This window comes from Homo sapiens, chromosome 5 (assembly GCF_000001405.40).
Source record: "Homo sapiens chromosome 5, GRCh38.p14 Primary Assembly".
Lineage (NCBI taxonomy): Eukaryota > Metazoa > Chordata > Mammalia > Primates > Hominidae > Homo > Homo sapiens.
The window spans coordinates 63302677-63321386 of NC_000005.10; positions in this window are offsets into that span (position 1 = coordinate 63302677).

Here is an 18710-nt window from a genome sequence, read left to right on the forward strand (position 1 = left end):
AACGTATCTCATGATCTTCCCCCTAAATCTGCCCTCCTCCAGTATTCCTCAGTTTGGTAAGTAACATAATTATTCATTTGCATAAGTTAAAAATCTGAGAATATTCTTCATATTTACTTTTGCTTCACTTCCTTTTCCCCAGTTCCTCTATCATACTTACTACTATGTCCTACTAATTTTACCATGTAGAATCTGACTTCTTCTCTGTACATTATCCACTCCAATCTAATTTCTAGCCACCTTCATCTCAAAACTAGACTGCAAAAGCCCCCTAATGAATCTCCATGCAATCACTCTTGCTCTACACCCTCCAATTCATTTTTTTTACTGCATGCAAGTCTTTTCGAGCCCTAATTCTTATCTTGTTACTTCCATGCTTAAAAGCATTTAGTAGGTTTTTACTCACATAATTATTGTCATTTCCTGTGATTCCCTCTTAATTTATCTGTCCCAATAATAGTAATCTTTGTTCATTTTCACTACTGAGCCATCCCTTCTCCCACTCTGAGGACTGAACATGCTGTTCTTGGCAAACCACCTCCACTGGCATCCTCACTTACTTAACTTCCACTTATTATAGGTATTTGGATTTTGGCTCAAATGACTTTCCTCGGGGAAACGTTTTCTTATGTCCATAGTCAGATTCTCCTGTCATAACTTCTCAAGCATCCTACATTTTTGTTTAATAATACTTATATTGTGCTTCATGAGGAACTTGGGGGTGCCCATTTTATCGCTTATGTCCAGGTAGCAGAATAAGCCTGATGCGTAGTAGACGATCACAAAGTACTTGAGGAGCAAGTAAATAAATGATTGAAGCATCATTACAATATCATAGATAGTTTCTCCTGTATTAGTTTTGAAATGTGACAAGAATCTGAGGAGTCTGACCTTGAAGATTTCCATACTTATTCTTTCTTATTTACATATACTGTGCATTTTCAGTTTTGAAATCGCAGGCTGATTTTTAAAAACTATTAGAGCTGAGAATCCAGCCTGTGATGTGAACATCAAGCTGTGCGCTCTCTACCTAGCATCATCAATAAACCACAAATTCTGCAATTAAAAGTAAGCTTTGTAGGTGAAGCATGAGAATACCCAGCTTCTCTACCCACAAGCTTTATTGGCTGTATAGATCTACTGGGAGAAAAACATTCTTTGCATTATAAGTTACTGACACAAAAATGCATAGCAAGCAGAAAGAGAAAAAGTTATCTTTTAATAACTCATATCTACTGTTTACATAATTATCAAGCAAGATTTTTATTTATCTAAATTCTGAATTTTTTCTCTTGAATATTCGATGAAGGACAGTCAATAATAATTGCTAACTAACTTACCTTCTAAAATAGAATCTACATATATATGAACTCTTCAGAGTCGGAGTTTTAATGTAGTTGTGTCAGTAAGCAAAATATAAGGACTGGAAGTAACTTGCATATGCATAAGAGGAATCACACATTGAACCAATAAGATCCTAAATAAAAAAAAATTTAAATTTATTTTTAGAAATTTGGTTCAGGAGTACATGTGCAGGTTTGTTATAAGGATATACTATGTGGTGCTGAAATTTGGGCCTCTATTATTGATCCTGACACCCAAATAATGAACATAGTACTCAATAGGAAGTTATTCAGCCCTTTCTCACCTCCTTCCCTCCCTACCTTTGCAGTCCTCAGTGTCTATTGTTCACATATTTATTCCACTGTACCCAATATTTAACTCCTACTTATAAGTGAGAACATACAGTATTTGGTTTTCTGCTTCTGTTTTAATTTGCTTAGGATAATGACCTCCAGTGCACCCACATTGCTGCAAAAGACATGATTTTGTGCTTTTTTATGGCTGTGTAGTATTTCATGGCATATATGTACCATATTTTCTTTATTTAATATTCTGTTGATGGGCATCTAGGTTGATTCCATGTGTTTGCTATCGTGAATAGTGCTGCAGTGAACATGTGACTGGACATCTTTTTGGTAGAATAATTTGTTGTCTTTTGGATATTTGCCCAGTAATTGGATTTCTGAGCTTAACAGTAGTTCTAAGTTCTTTGAGGAATCTCCAAACTGCTTTCCACAATGGCCAAACTAATTTATGTCCCCATCAACAGTATATAAGTGTCTTCTTTCTCCACAACCTCGCCAAAATCTGTTATTTTTTTTCTTTTAACCATTCTGACTGATGTGAAATGTTATCTCATTGTGGTTTTGATTTGTATTTCTCTGATGATTAGTGATGTTGAGCATTTTCTCATATGGTTGTTGGCTGCTTCCATTATCTTCTTTAGAGAAGTGCTTGTGCATGTCCTTGGCTCATTTTTTAATGTTTCTTTTTCTTGTTCAACGGTTTAAATTTCTTATAGATTCTGGATATTAGACCTTGTCAGATGCATAGTTTACAAATATTTTCTCCCATTCTGTAGGCTGTTTACTCTGTTGATGGTTTTGTTTGCTGTGCAGAAACTCTTTAGTTTAATTAGGTCCCAATTGTCAGTTTTCATCTTTGTTGCAATTGCTCATGGGGACTTAATCATAAAAGTATTTCCTAGGTTTTCCTTTGTGTTTTTTTAGTCTGCAGTCTTACGTTTAAGTAAGTCTTTAATCCAACTTGAGTTAATTTTTGTACATACACAGTGAGAGGCAGGGGTCCAGTTTCATTCGTCTGTATATGGTTAGCCAGTTTTTACAATAAAAAAAAATTCTTGATCTTATTTTTGTTTTCCATGTTCCTAGAATTTCAGGCACCAACTGGTTAGGTCACAAGATACATAGATTTTTATTAAAGTCAATAGAATTATTTGAAGAGCTGGATGCATCTTCAGCAATTGCAGGTGTTGTAGCGATATAAAAGTTCAGTACTGTCAAAGTGCTGTGGAGCATCCCAGACCTGAGCTTTGATACTATTTTGATATCATTTTGATGCCAAGCACATAGAGATTAAGAATCTTGACTTTATCTTCTTCCCCTTGTCCTGTAAATCCTGTTTTCAATAAGACAGGGAAAAAAATAGGTCTCTAGTAGCCTGATAGCACTTTGCTTATTTCATATTTGAGTCTGATTTCTCAAACTCTTCAAACTGTTTTATAGCTCCTTTACAGTAGAATTCTAGCAGACAGCATTAATATTTTGTAGGACCAGGTCATCATATGCTACCAGTGAGATTTTTTTTTCTCTCCTTCTCTCTCTCATGTGTGTGTGTGTGTGTGTATGTGTGACAGAGCAGTCATATAACAGGGCTAAATATCCGGCATGAAAAGAGTCCAGCTGTAGGCCACACTTCATAGGGGGAAGTCCATAGACACGAGTCCTTTCATCTCTCTGGGATGCTGGGTTTTCTATCTGACAAGCACAAAACACTGCTACTGTTCTGCCATGCTGCAGGCTTCACTCTGTAAAAACAGGTGTAGACAGGTCATTAAGGCTACAAACTCCTTTCTGGGATTAAGCTTGGAGGAGGCAGGTAGGAAAGGTAGCTATTGAAGTCTAGAGTTAATTCATAGACATTTATGTAAAAATGCAATCAAATGATAAAGGTGGAATATACATTGATTCTAAAAGAGCTCCACTGGACGTCATTTCTGTGGAAAGTGCACTCATTTGGAGGAACCACCTCTGCCACAACCTCAGGAGTAATTACATAGCAATAAGTAGATGTTATCTCAGCAATTTCCACAGTTTTTCTAAGATTTTTAAAAAGCAGTTTGTAAAATGTCCTAGGGTAATTTCACAAATGACTACATTTATTGATGTTTACCTACAGTTATAATCAAGAATTAGGCTTTCATTTTTCTTTCTGAGTTAAATAATAAGGTTCCATGTAATACTGTGAACTTTCTCCCTCAGAGTTAAGAACTCATTATTTTGATTCCTTAGAATGAAGAATAATGTTCTGAAGATAATAGGCACTGCTGCACACTACCTGTTGAGAGAGAGAAAGAATAAGGCACTGGTATTAAGGAGGTACTTACTAACACTTTTTTGGAGGCAGTATTGGATCGGTCTTATTACATAATAAAAGATTTAACCTTGGTCAATAAAAATAAAACAAAAAACTTGTGGAACTAGCCAAACACTTACTTATATTGACTATGAAATTAAATGATCAGTTTGATTAAACACTTCATTTGTCATCATCTGTATTGGTATTGTGTTGAGACAGTTTAAATCAATTTAAATTTAAATTATGACCACTAGCTATTGGATTAAAACAAAATCACAGTACTTTTAAAGTTTACTAGACATTTGGAAATATGCTGTTCTCTAATGTCTAGTAATAAAAGTACATACAATATTACTTATCCCAAAATCCACAAATATTTTTCATGAAGACCAGGATGATATTTTTGATGTGTGTATTTCAGTGTTTATAAAGTATGTGCAGTTTGCGGTTCATACTTAGGGACACTAGCTGGTGGTTAGCCACAAAAATCAGAGTTCTGACCCACTGAGTTAGTGAGGACAGCAGATCAGAGCTAATTTTAGCATCCTGACTACATTGCAAAGAGAAACTTTATATTTCTCAGTTTATTCAGTGTATTAAAGTGTTCTTGTTCATTTTACACCACACTCTGCCCTTGTGGAATTGGGATATTAGCATGATTTCCTTAGGAATTTTGGAATCAGAACTACTCGAGAGTATCAAGGAACTAAGAAAAAGTTTGACAGCATAGAAACACTTCTGAAAAGAGGAAAAAGATAGGTTAGATGGGGGAGGGGGTTGAATTTCTCAATGAGTACCTGTCTTCTAGGATGCCCCCAGAAGTATGAGGTCACTTTATTTATTTGATCAAATGATCTCTGAGATTATATCTAGCTAAGCCATGAGATAAGCCTGGCATTAAGCAAGGCCCTGATTATTAAGCATATACCTAGACACACAAATCTACTTATTCAGAAATGGTCTGATTTAAGTGCCAGAGTGACAATTCAAACGCAAATTTTTCATATTACAAAGATCTTGCTCTGAACCATTGCATTGTAACATGGGATATATTTGGGAAACAAATATATGTAAGGATACACATGTTTTCTGGGCCATCTTTTAATTGTGAGACATTTTTATAGAAATATTAAAATTGTGGAAAAGGTAGAGTTGGGTTAAATTCTTGCCTTAACTTTCCTATGTAGCAGGACAATACTCAAGCTTTTACATGAAAAATAAAACATAAGTCTGATGAGCTGGAAAAGGATATCCATTCCTTCTTCTCATTACTGGTAGTAATGAGTATTTGACTATTTAACTTCCCAGGCAATAAGAAAAATATAGAGGAGAATATTTTCACATTTATTTCCATGCACCAGTCAAGATCTAGACAAATTCACAAATAAGAGATAACTGAACAGTGCTTTAGGAGATTTTTTTTTCAGAGAAAGATCAATAACAATTTAGAACGAGTAATGTACCCATAGAAACAGCATCAAATACAAATCAGTATTATGCACCCTGGCATTCTAGGTCTGTTTCTGATATTGATTTACATTTTGGAAATCACTTAATCTTTTAGTCCCTGTTCCAACATTTATGAAATGAGGAGTGATTCTCTGCATTGTAAATACCCTGGGTGCAGCAATGCACTTCTCCAACTACGGAGCAAAACAAATCTTTGTTTTACTTTGCTGATTCACCAGGGGCAGTAGCTATTGTACCTAGCAAGACAAAGAAAACTATAGCAGTGGAGCTACCACTTATAGAATCTCAGAGAGATTCTTCAACCACCTGGCGATCAGAACTTGGAATACTAGCATACTGAGAGCCATTAAAGAAGAAGGATTATCACACAATAGTCAAGAATAAAATGCCCAGATGAACAATACCTGCTTCCTCAAACTACTATGCAATTATGAAAACTATGTGACATAATTTTGGTGAATAAGCACAAGCTGAGGTCTTCAAGACAGGTTTTGGCTTTCTTGATTCAGAAGATTTCCATTTTCTCCCCATCTTGAATGTGGACATGATGTGTGGAGTGTAAGAGCCATGTTGCCACCATGGAGCAGAACGCTTATGAATAAAAACCAAAGGAAGGTAGAGGCTGGCGCTTATGAATAAAAACCAAAGGAAGGTAGAGGCTGGCCTGATCTTTGATGGTGTCACTGAGCCACCAAACCAGCATGGGACCACATCCCCCTGGACACTTTTGTATGAGGAATGAGGCAAATATATCATTATCTACACCATCATTAGTTAGGATTTCTGTTATGTGTAACTGAACTCTAACTTGTATGTATTAGGAGACACCTCTTCATAGTCTCTGTTGTTTCTGCACATCTTGCACGCAGAAGCATTGACTCCTTTGTTCTGGACTGTCTTTTCAAAGATGCTTGTACTATAGCAAGTAACTAGAAAATAAACATACTGTCTTCACTCCCAGAGCAAAGGGTGGTTTGCTTATGCCAAAGTATAATAAAGATAATGCTTCCTTCAGGTATGCTTATTGTCCATTGTAAAAAGTTCAGATTTTCTAAGCTTGGGGTTCCTCTCCTGTAACAAAACCCACTGTGTTTGTAGCTGTTACCTGGCCCTAGTTATATTATTCTGAAGGAATTGGAGTTAGAGGAACTGGTGAAAATGCTAATAACCATTACTACTATTGGTTTGAGTAAAAAGTACTTTGTCTCAGACCCAGGGGTCTCAAGTCTTCTGCCTGCATCCATGAAAGTGTGGCAGTATTACTTGTCAGTTTGTAGGTACGGTTAAACCTCAGACTCTGAACAGTCCTCAATAAATTGATTTTGAACAAAGTTGTCAAAATCAGTATACACACAAACTCCATTGATAAAGACTTCCACTCCCAACACATGAACTAAAATGCCAACTAAATGGCTATTATGTATTAGATTAAAGAAAACAAAGAAATTCTAGTTAACTTCATATTTGTAAAAGCTAGCAGTGAAACTATATGTACATATGATTTTAACTGGCCACACTTCCAGCAAGCAGAGTAGAACTGGAAAGTGTAAGACATGTTCATAAAGAAATTACCAACTACTTTAGAGTCAGTGAAAAGAACAATAGTATTAATTCTGCATAAAATTAGATCTACATTAACAAGTTTGAGATGCATCCACAATTCAGTGAATCAGAGAGAATAATATATATTCTAAAGACTAAATAGGTGGTATAAAAAACAAATAACTGATGTTCCAAGAGTGAACAGAAAGAGTATTCAAATACAATGATGATAATGTTGATGATGATAATAATAAAAATGCATTATTGAAATGGGAGAAGACCTGAATTTGAATATCAAAATAATCCATAAATTATAAGAAAAAAGAAAGGAAGAGCGGACAATTAGATATTACTTCAGGAAATTCCTGAGATTAAAAAATGCAAAACAGATGTTATAAGAATTGTGAAAGAGTCGCCGGGTGCAGTGGCATGCCTGTTAATCCCAGCACTTTGGGAGCCCAAGGCGGGCAGATCACGAGGTCAGGAGATCGAGACCATCCTGGCTAACACGGTGAAACCCCGGCTCTACTAAAAATACAAAAAATTAGCCGGGCGTAGCGGCACGCGCCTGTAGTCCCAGCTACTAGAGAGGCTGAGGCAGGAGAATCGCTTGAACCTGGGAGGTGGAGGTTGCATTGATCCAAGATCGCGCCACTGCACTCTAGCCTGGGAGACAGAGTGAGATTCCATCTCAAAAAAAAAAAAAAAAAAAGAATTGAGAAAGAAAAAAATATATTTTCACATTGGAGAAAAAAATCAGACCACATACTGTATGATTCTAATTATATGACATTTGGACAAAACAGAACTGTGGTGATTGATAGTAAAAAAAAAAAAGAAAGAAAAAAAACTGTCAGTGGTTGCCAGAGATTAGAGGGGAGGCAAGGATGAACAGGCAGATCACAGACAATTTTTAGGGCGGTGAACATATTCTGTATTTTACTAAAACAGTGAATACGTGTCATTAAACATTTGTCAAAACCCATAGAATGTTCAACACTAACAGTGTATCTTAATGCACACTGTGGATTTTGGGTGATAATGATGTGTCAACATAGGGTCATGGATTGTAAGGAATACTATTCTGGTGCAGGATGTTGATATTGGGAGAGGCTAGCATGGGTGAGGGTAGGAGATTTACATGGTAAATCTCTGTACTTGCCTCTCAGTTTTGCTGTGGACCTATGACCTAAAAAAATCATCTTTTCCAAGAGTTAGACTGTTCTTAGCTATCTGTTTCACAATATTGAATGCCAGAATACCACAGAGCAAAAGTAATTAAAACTCAATTGCACAAGAATAGAGATCAGTTAATAAATTATATCAACTTCATAAAAACACTTTATGACTTTTAAGCAATGATCTAACACTAGTATACTAATGTGGACAATTTTAGAAAATGTCCGTGAATTTAAACTAAAAGAAAAAGTGCAGACTGTGTATTTCTCCCTGTGCTTCATTCTGTACATTTTCTTCAGGTCTGTCTTCATTTTTTTTGTCTATCTTCTTTTCATTCTTCCTGCAGCAGTACCTGTACCAGTGTTTATCCTATCTATTTTAATTCTAATTTCAATAATCAAATTTTTTATTCTTAATATTTTCATGTGGATTATTCAAATATTATATATCCTGACTCCTTTTTTATTCGCTGATTTTATTTGTAAACAGACTAGCATGGACCTAAAATGGTAGATATAAACAAACATAATCTACAAAATTAAAACATAAGAACTATGAAACTTAGAATTAAAGTAATTTAATAATAAAATATTAATGCTATACTTTTAGTCATTGTTAAAACCAGAAATAACCTTTAATGTCACTTTTTCCACTTTAATTTTACTAAGACCTTTGAGATCAAATTTTTTGGCCAATGTCACATAGCTAATTAGTGCCAGAGGTGATATTAGAACCCTGTTCTTTTGATTTCCAGCTTAGTTTAAGTTCCTTCATAACAAGTCCCAAGGCTATAATTCCAGTAGAAGTGTAATTATTTAAGAAGCTCAATGTAACTATGAAATAAATACAATAGTACAATATCAAAAATCAGAGTGTTTCAGCATTATAAAAATTTGACCTATTTAAACCAAGTAGTCTAGAAAAACTAAATAGTAATTAAGAATCTGTTATTTATTTCCTTTACAGCACTTCTGGAAAAATTTAGAAGGTGTTTTATTTTCAAAGTTGACTAGAGATGTCTAAATTCATAACTTTAAATTTTTCCCCTCAATCATAAAAACTAAAGTTTATTTCACTGATATATTTTTAAAAGCCATTGAAACTAGTGCCTCATCTAGCAAATAGCAAGTATTCAATAAACATTGGATGAATGAATTATTTCTTAAGGAAAAGACTTGGACAAACTCATAGGCTATTATTCATGTCTTGCCATTAATTAAATAAATGGACATGACAGGAATACACTCTTATCCTGTTTTTATATCTGTGAAATGACATCTTTGGTCAAGGTCACTGATAGTAAATAGGTTTTCATGTGTTCAATAATTCTGATTGAGAATAGTTTCATGGCACTAACTTTATAATAATTTTGATGCTGCGTTCAGGCTCAGCTAGGAAAAAGCATCATTTTTAGTTAATGACGTTTGTCTTGTACAGAGGATAAGAAGAGGTCACATATGGACCACATATTTTCCCATACATTTGGGAATGTGTAAAAGACATTTCTATTCACCTGTGGGCTAGTTGTTCCATTTCGAAAGTATAGCTTAAAATCCTATAGTTTTGATTATTGATAACTTTGGGGGGTCCTCTTGTTCTTATTTTCTCTGGTTCATACTTTCCAATGCAATGCCCTGAATATGCCATCTCACCAAAGTGCCCAAATCAATAATAAACAATAGCTGTCACATCTCTTAAGGGGAAGCTTAGGAAAACACACACGCAAGAAAAAACAGCCTAAGGGGTATGTGGAAGGAAATAGGCAGTTGGGATACTTTCTTTATTTCGTTCATGGATTTTCAAAATTTTCCACCCCACACCCTGATAAAAACAAAAAAATAATTAAAAGCCTGAAGACCAAATCTCAGTGTTTGCTACAGATTCCTCAGCTATGCAGAGAAATAGCATCTGATTATTTTCAAGTTAGATATATTCAAGCTCAGTAGCTATTTTATTATAAGTTAACTACCATGCATATGACTTCATAAACCAGTTTTTTCTACCTTTTTTTTTCAATAAAGCTCAATAAGAAATAAATAGGAAGTTTGAAAGCTAATTCCTCATAGTATCTTAGAGTTGATGGAAATCTAAAAAACATTGTTTAATCAATGCCCCATCCTCATCCCCATGAGGGAAGACACAATGTTATTTTCCTAACTGCTATAATTTTCAGTGCCTAGCCCAGTGCGCACTCATTAGGTGCTCAGAGGAAGAACAAATATGACTGTTACTTGAATGAATGGACCATCAGGCCTTTCAGTCATCTGTCATTATACTTTATCTATGAAGAACACACTTGGGTTGGAAAGGAAGAGGAGAGGGTGCTGTGGCTCCTGCTGAAATACTCAGCTACTGTATGGATTAAAAGCCAATTCCTCCTTCAAAGTTCAACTAAAATAACACCTTCTTTTTAAGCCTTCTTTAATACATCTGAAGTGTAATAAACTATAATTTCTCTATGTTCCTGTAATGGGTTTCTTTGTCCTCTATTTCATCATGGGTATTCTATATTATAGGCAGTTGGTTGCAAACTCTTACTTCTAAATTTTAAATTAATTGAGGGTAAGGATTGGGTCTTATTCCTTTTTCTTTGATCTTAGAAAAATAATGAGAAAATATTGTTTGTTAATTAATGGAGAGACTCAAAAGGCAGCCATGGTTCAATTAGGAGTAGCTTAAATTGGTCAGAGGGAAACAAGTCAGGGAAGACTGTGGAGACTAAAGTAGGCAGCTGTAGCACCCAAACCACTCCCCACCCAAGAGGCTTTTGAGGCATTTTCTTCATTCAAATTGGAGTATCAAATGAGAGTCACCAGAGTCTGTATATTTTCTCAGAAAAATTTTCACTTTAGGAAATAAGACATGAATTATTCCTATTACCACTGACCAACAATAAATAAATATTTTTGAACTTTAAAAATGTGGAGGCAATGCTTATAATTATAAATAAATACTGATTCCAAGTGTAAACTTAGCAACAATTGTGATTAAATATTAAAGATAGGATGGATCCTGAAGATCATCCAAGTCAATCCAGTGATTTTCTAAGTGGAAAACAATATCCAGAAAGGTTTAGAGATTGGCCTGAAAACAGAAGTAAACAGTACTCAGTCTACAAGGGACTGATCTAAGTCCATCCACGAAGTTTTGAAAGTTAAAGGCACTTAACTAGAAATAACAGACAAATTTATTTATTGTTCTAAGATGAGAAATTATATTTCAAAAATATCTAAATCATTTTAATGTACTATTGCAATATCTCAGGAGATTAAAAAAAATCTTCATTTTGAAAAGATCTTTGCAGCTCGCAAATGACAATAAAAGCTTTACCTCAGACAAAGGGAATAATGAAAACATAAGAGGGCCATGATAATATACAGTCCAGTTTCTGTGGAACACTAAGGCCTCTCTAGTGTGTTGGTGGGTACTTAACAGATATTAAAACATACCTCAGATTTCCCTAAACTTCTCTTTTCTTGCTTTCTTTTCCTTTATCTGACAATAGCTATAAACATATGCTGAAATACATAGTTTCAATCTCTATTATGTAAATAAGCATTTTTAAAAATTGCACATTCTTAAAAAGCAGAGGAAACAATCATCTGGCTTTTTTCTTTAAAAATCCTTAAGGTTCTTTTAATTTGCATATATGTTTGAATTTTTCTTTCTGTGTCAGAATATTTGTAGAAAAAGAAGTTCTTCAAAAGTAGAACAGCTATAATGCTAATTTCAGCTTGATTGTGATTTCTGTCAACTCTGATCTTCATTTTTTTTTTCTATATAAGGACCCTGTGAAAATTTACCTAAGAGTAGAGGAGTCTAGGAGTCCCAAGCAAGCGCTTTATAGAGATGATTTAGTATTGAACTCGAAGAGATATGGATGAACTTTTTCCTTTGTAATTGTAACTCGCTCTGAAGTTGCTTAATAATACGACACAGACTTTAACCCTTTGGATTTCATCTGAAGGGCTTTATGATTAGAGAAATGGGAATGGCCTCAATTAAGACTTCTTCAATTACACCATACTCCTTAGATTTCACTTTATTCTCACAGTTTTATACCACTTTTCTTAAGAACTGAACATTCCAACCCCCGGGTGTTTTGTCATCATTTAAACGCTCTCTACTTCCAGGATATATCATGGGAAAATTGCACCACAGTGCATCTATTTTTTCATACTTTAAGCTGAAAGATGGTTCAATTAATTTTCCCTAGTTGATTACTGCCAGTTAAATATTTTCTTAGCCTAAATTATGTAAAATTCAGATTATCTTCAACCCTAAATATGGTTTATTGCAGGTTCGTATTTCCTATTGGCACTCATCGCTCATGTGATCATTGCTTTCCCTGCCAAAGTTATGCATTTGAATCATGGTCATAATGTATAGTTATTTACAGAGAAAATGAAGATAAAGTAGGAGAGTCTAATTGTCTGAAAAGAGAAGCCAATAATTAGGCTGTAGAAAAACTGGAATTGTTTATAGAGGAAGTTTTGCCTGAATAAGAACTCACAAGTTATTTTTCTAAGTTTTTACTTATTCTTCTTTTATTAAAAAATAGCAATAGCACACCTTTGAACACTAACTCTCTCTAGCTATACACTATTTTAATACTTTACTTCACACAGCTCTGGTGTTGTACACAACTTAGGACTGTGTAGTTACCATTGAATTAGTTTACATAGTTTGTTATAAAACAAATGCCTCAGACCGAAGGCCTCTTCATAAATAAAAAGAACAGAAATTTTTCCTTCAAAGTTCATTCTGCAGGGATTTATATAGCTTCTCCCTTTTCTTTTTCTTACAATTTCCTTCCTGGCTCACTTATATTATAACCCACACAGGCATATGTATCAAAGTGCACAACTATTTATAGCAGTTTGAATCAAATTTAACATAAAGGTTATATGGTGTTTTGATATCAGACAATATTTAAATTACATGGTTTCATTAATATTATAGAGATGAGGCATTTCAGTAACGAAGAAGTTAGATAACTTGTTGAAAGTCAGTTATAGCATCACACACTCCTCAATTGGCTTGGCTCAGTTTGAAAATGTAAGCACTTTCCATGCCTTATAATCTGGAGTCAGTCTCCTTTATTATTAGTTCTCCCAGCTTCCCCACCAGATATAAGTTATGCATCATTAGATAGATATTTTTATTCCATAAATAAATAATATTAAGCTTCAGTGAGATGCTAGACACTTTGCCAGGTTCTGAGGATTCAAAGGTGAACAAAAGAGATCTGATACAACCAAGAATTGTAGACTGGTGTGGATAATCAAATAATCTCATGAAAGAATAATTCATAGTTGTGATAAGTGTTTTGGGGGAAAATACGGATGCTTTCTATGCAGGGGATATGATAACTGAAAGATGAAAAATAATAAACAGGAGTTAGAAGGTGAAGGAAAGTAATCTTAAGCAGATGGAACATAATATTCTCTCTCCAGAGATAGGAGAGAGCATGGGTTCTCCAAGCAGTGGGACAAAGGCAGAGTTGTCAGAAGCAGAGAGAAGACAAGAAAGTGGAATGCATTAGACGCTGAGGACAGAGGCATAGACCAGCATATCCAAGTCTCTGATGGCAGTATTGGAGATTTTCAACTTTATCCCCAAAGTATCCTAAGAGTAATGGGAAGCTTCTGAAAAGATACAATAAGGAAAATAACAAATTGGAATTTCAGCTAAAATGTATTATCTAGCAAAGACATGGAATCAACTTAAATGCCCATTAGTGAAGATTGGATAAAGAAACTGTGGTACATATACACCATGGAATACTATGCAGCCACATAAAAGAATGAGAACATATCTTTTGTAGGAACATGGATGGAGCTGGAGGCTATAATCCTTAGCAAACTAATGCAGGAACAGAAAATCAAATACCGTATGTTCTCACTTGTAAGTTGGAGTGAAATGACAAGAAATTATGAACACAAAGAAGGAAACAAAAAACAGAGTTCTACTTGATGGGGGAAGAGTGGGAGGAGGGAGAGGAGCAGAAAAGATAACTATTGGATACTAGGCTTAATAACTGCGTGATGAAATAATCTGTACAACAAAACCCTGTGACACAGTTCACCACCTTCACATAAACCCCCACACCTAAAATAAAAGTTAAAAAACTAATTTAAAAAGACTATACCATACATAAAAAGGAAAATGAATTGGAAAGAATCAAAATGAAAGCTGAGAAACTAGTTACACATCTATTACAAAAGTCAAAAGACACGGTGGGAGGGTGGACCAGGATGAGAGTAGTAGAGAGGCAAGACATTGATATAAGCCAGTGATATTTGGGTATTAAAAGTGAATAGAGTTCAGGACAGTTGAACATTTCTCATGACTTACTTCATTTCCAGAGAAAGTCTTTTTTTTTTTTTACATTCAGAATGTCTCTTTATAGCCACTAAATCCAGATTTATATGGTCTTCCCAGATGCATGAACTCTGTCTTTTTGTATACTTATCTTTTTGAGTTACCTTCTCAACCAGGTTTTTATCCCTGTTTTTACTTTTAAATAATCACATTATTTCCAAAACCTTCCAGCTTATATATTTGTGGTGAAACAGGCACTGTTAAACACTGAGCTTAGAAGGAGAAACAGATACAACCACTTAAGATGATAATTGGTATTGTGTTCTCATGAGTCTGAAACATGCTTATCTCTTTCGCCTAATAATTTTTCATCTGGGAAACCTTTCTAAAGAAAATCCTAAGGTACACAAGGCTTTTATGGACAAAAATGTTTACCAAAGCATTTTTCCTTAATAGCAAAATTTAAAAATTACCTAAATGTTCAACAATAGTGTAAAGGTTAAGTAAATTATGATATAGTTATCATCATTATACTTTTCTATAATTTTTTTTACAATAAATATGCCTTTTTAAAATAATTAGAAAGGTAATTGTTACTCAATTTCTCAGCAACTCTGTTCATATTTTTTTTTCAGATTTAAAACCTGTGTTAATGGTTTTTCTTTAGTCTGAGTTATCTCGTGGATTGGATGGAGCGTAAAGGGAGGTGAAGGCTTCAGTAAGGTAACCTTGGTGAGAATATTTCATAAACTATACAACAGTAAGCACCAATAATTGAGTATCTTGGTTTGTTGGCCCTGGCCTTGTCTACTGCAAAGTCTGACATTGGCAGTGAACATATGTTAGGCATTCATGCAGTGGTATGCTCTCTTAACAGGTTTTATGGAAAGGCCAAGTAAAGGATACTTTGGTCATAACTGACTCCCAATTTTGAAAGGATCCCCCTTTTAACCTTACCCCTACCAGAGCCAGATATTAGTTAGAAACAATACATTCAAGGAGGAAGAGAGTTGAAGTACATGGGCTAGCTGGAGTCAGCAAGGGTGAGTGAGAGGAACAGTAAGAGGGGCAGGGGCACAATATTTTGCATAGGGCATAATGCATCTCTCCTGTGTGCTATCCTTCCCACCGAGGATTTTTATAGAACTCTATGGGGAAGATGAGGCATATAAAGTGTGTTAAATAAGTAAATGGAACATCTACTGTTTCTGTAAGACAAGACAGGCACAGGCGCACTGCTTTAATGCCCCCAAACTGACTATTAGAGTACAGAAGGAGGGATGACAAAGCTATTAATAGTAAAGTAATAAGTAACGTCATCAGAGAATCTGGTATGGTACAAGATGAATTCAGCAGAACTAGGAAAGGTGGGCCTAAAGTGAGAGAAACTGGCAATCAGATGTTCCAGGCAGGTGTGATACACAGCTTTACTTCTGGGACCCAGAAGAAAAATGATTTTTCTCCTTTCATTGTGGCTTTATGGTATCCTTGGAAGGAGAAACCTGGGGAAATGAGTTAACAAAGCCATTCCATCACCCTAACTCACTCTTAGTTCATAATACTTTGTCCACCTACTAGAGACCCTCAGGTCAATAACAAAGGAGTTCAAAAGGGAAAAAGGTTGGCTGTATTTGTTTGTTTTTCCTTTGTAGCACCTGCTCTAATTTGCAATTATATCATCATCTATTTCTTTAATGTCCGAATCCTTCTTGGACTGTAAGTTCTATGGGATCAGGTATCTTTTTGTTTATTACTCTGCAAATTGTAGCCAGCAGAGTGGATCTATATTAATTGACTAAATGGATAAGTTAGTAGTATGTGATAAGGCAAGGGAATATTGGCTGGGGAGACAGGGAGGGAAAAGGTGGAGTCTGACCCTCAAGGCCATTAAATGTAGGTCCTGGCAGTGCTCTGCTGCCAAGGCAAGTTAAAAGGTCCAAGCAGAAGAGAGCTAGGACCATCACTGCTCCTGAGAGGGTGTGCAGGGGAACTGCCCTTTATAAAACCATCAGATCTTGTGAGACTTATTCAGTATCACGGGAACAGCATGGGAAAAACCTGCCCCCATGATTTGATTACATCTCGCTGGGTCCCTCCCACATCACCAGTGATGTGAGGATAGGAGAGAACTGTCTCAGGAGCCAAGTCCATGTGCACATTAGTAGGCAATGGTTGCAGGAAGCTGGCCTGTTTAAAAGGCAAAGAACATTTGGATACAGGTTAAGAGGAGAGAGAAGCAACCAGAAACCTATTCTTGGTAGGGTCAGTTGGAATGTAGTTTTAAGTAAAGAAAAAGCCATGTTGAGCACATATACTCTATACTCTGAAGTATTTAGTAAAGGAATCTTTTAATTCCTACCATAGAGGGAATGCCTCTGTCTTAAATTATCAGATTAAAAAACAGTAGAAGTGAAGTTGTATGAAAACTTATTTCAAATTTGTACCCCAAAGATTAAATGATATATAAATACAAAATTAATGAAAGCAGATTTTCATGTGTGTGGGGGTATGAATACTGTGGGTTATAAATGAATAGCATTGAAAAATAGTAATTCTTCATATGTATTTTCCCCCTCACTCACCACAACTGTATTAGTCAAGGTTCTCCAAGAAACCAGAATGAATAGAATATATGCATATATATATGTGTATGTGTGTGTGTGTGTGTGTATATATATATATATATATATATTTAAAGAATACATAAATACAATGTTTTACATCTGAAATAATATGGATACACTGAAAAATTGAGTCATTAAAATAATTTTTCTGATTACTAAATAACACATGTTCATTACAAAAAATGGAGAGAGAGAGACAGATATTTATTATAAGAAATTGGCTTCTGTGGCCATGGAGGCTGAGAATTCCCAAGATCTGCAGTCAGCAAACTTGAGACCCAGGAAAGCTGATGGTGTAAGTTCTAGGCTGAATGCGTGTGTGAAGGCAGAAGACCCGTGTCCCAGTTTAAATACAGTCAACTTTGTTCTTTTGGCTTAGGATTGACTTGGCGATGTGGGCTCTTTTTTGGTTCCATATGAACTTTAAAGTAGTTTTTTCCAATTCTGTGAAGAAAGTCATTGGTAGCTTGATGGGGATGGCATTGAATCTATAAATTACCTTGGGCAGTATGGCCATTTTCATGATATTGATTCTTCCTACCCATGAGCATGGAATGTTCTTCCATTTGTTTGTATCCTCTTTTATTTCATTGAGCAGTGGTTTGTAGTTCTCCTTGAAGAGGTCCTTCACCTCCCTTGTAAGGTGGATTCCTAGCTATTTTATTCTCTTTGAAGCAATTGTGAATGGGAGTTCACTCATGATTTGGCTCTCTGTTTGTCTTTTATTGGTGTATAAGAATGCTTGTGATTTTTGCACATTGATTTTGTATCCTGAGACTTTACTGAAGTTGCTTATCAGCTTAAGGAGATTTGGGGCTGAGATGATGGGGTTTTCTAGATATACAATCATGTCATCTGCAAACAGGGAGAATTTGACTTCCTCTTTTCCTAATTGAATACCATTTATTTCCTTCTCCTGCCTAATTGCCCTGGCCAGAACTTCCAACACTATGTTGAATAGGAGTGGTGAGAGAGGGCATCCCTGTCTTGTGCCAGTTTTCAAAGGGAATGCTTCCAGTTTTTGCCCATTCAGTATGATATTGGCTGTGGGTTTGTCATAGATAGCTCTATTATTTTCAGATATGTCCCATCAATACCTAATTTATTGAGAGTTTTTAGCATGAAGGGTTGTTGAATTTTATCAAAGGCCTTTTCTGCATCTATTGAGATAATCATGTGGTTTTTGTCTTTGGTTCTGTTTATATGCTGGATTACATTTATTGATTTGCATATATTGAACCAGCCTTGCATCCCAGGGATGAAGCCCTAAGCCAAAAGAACAAAGCTGGAGGCATCACCCTACCTGACTTCAAACTATGCTACAAGGCTACAGTAACCAAAACAGCATGGTACTGGTACCAAAACAGAGATATAGATCAATGGAACAGAACAGAGCCCTCAGAAATAATGCCGCATATCTACAACTATCTGATCTTTGACAAACCTGAGAAAAACAAGCAATGGGGAAAGGATTCCCTATTTAATAAATGGTGCTGGGAAAACTGGCTAGCCATATGTAGCAAGCTGAAACTGGATCCCTTCCTTACACCTTATACAAAAATCAATTCAAGATGGATTAAAGACTTAAACGTTAGACCTAAAACCATAAAAACCCTAGAAGAAAACCTA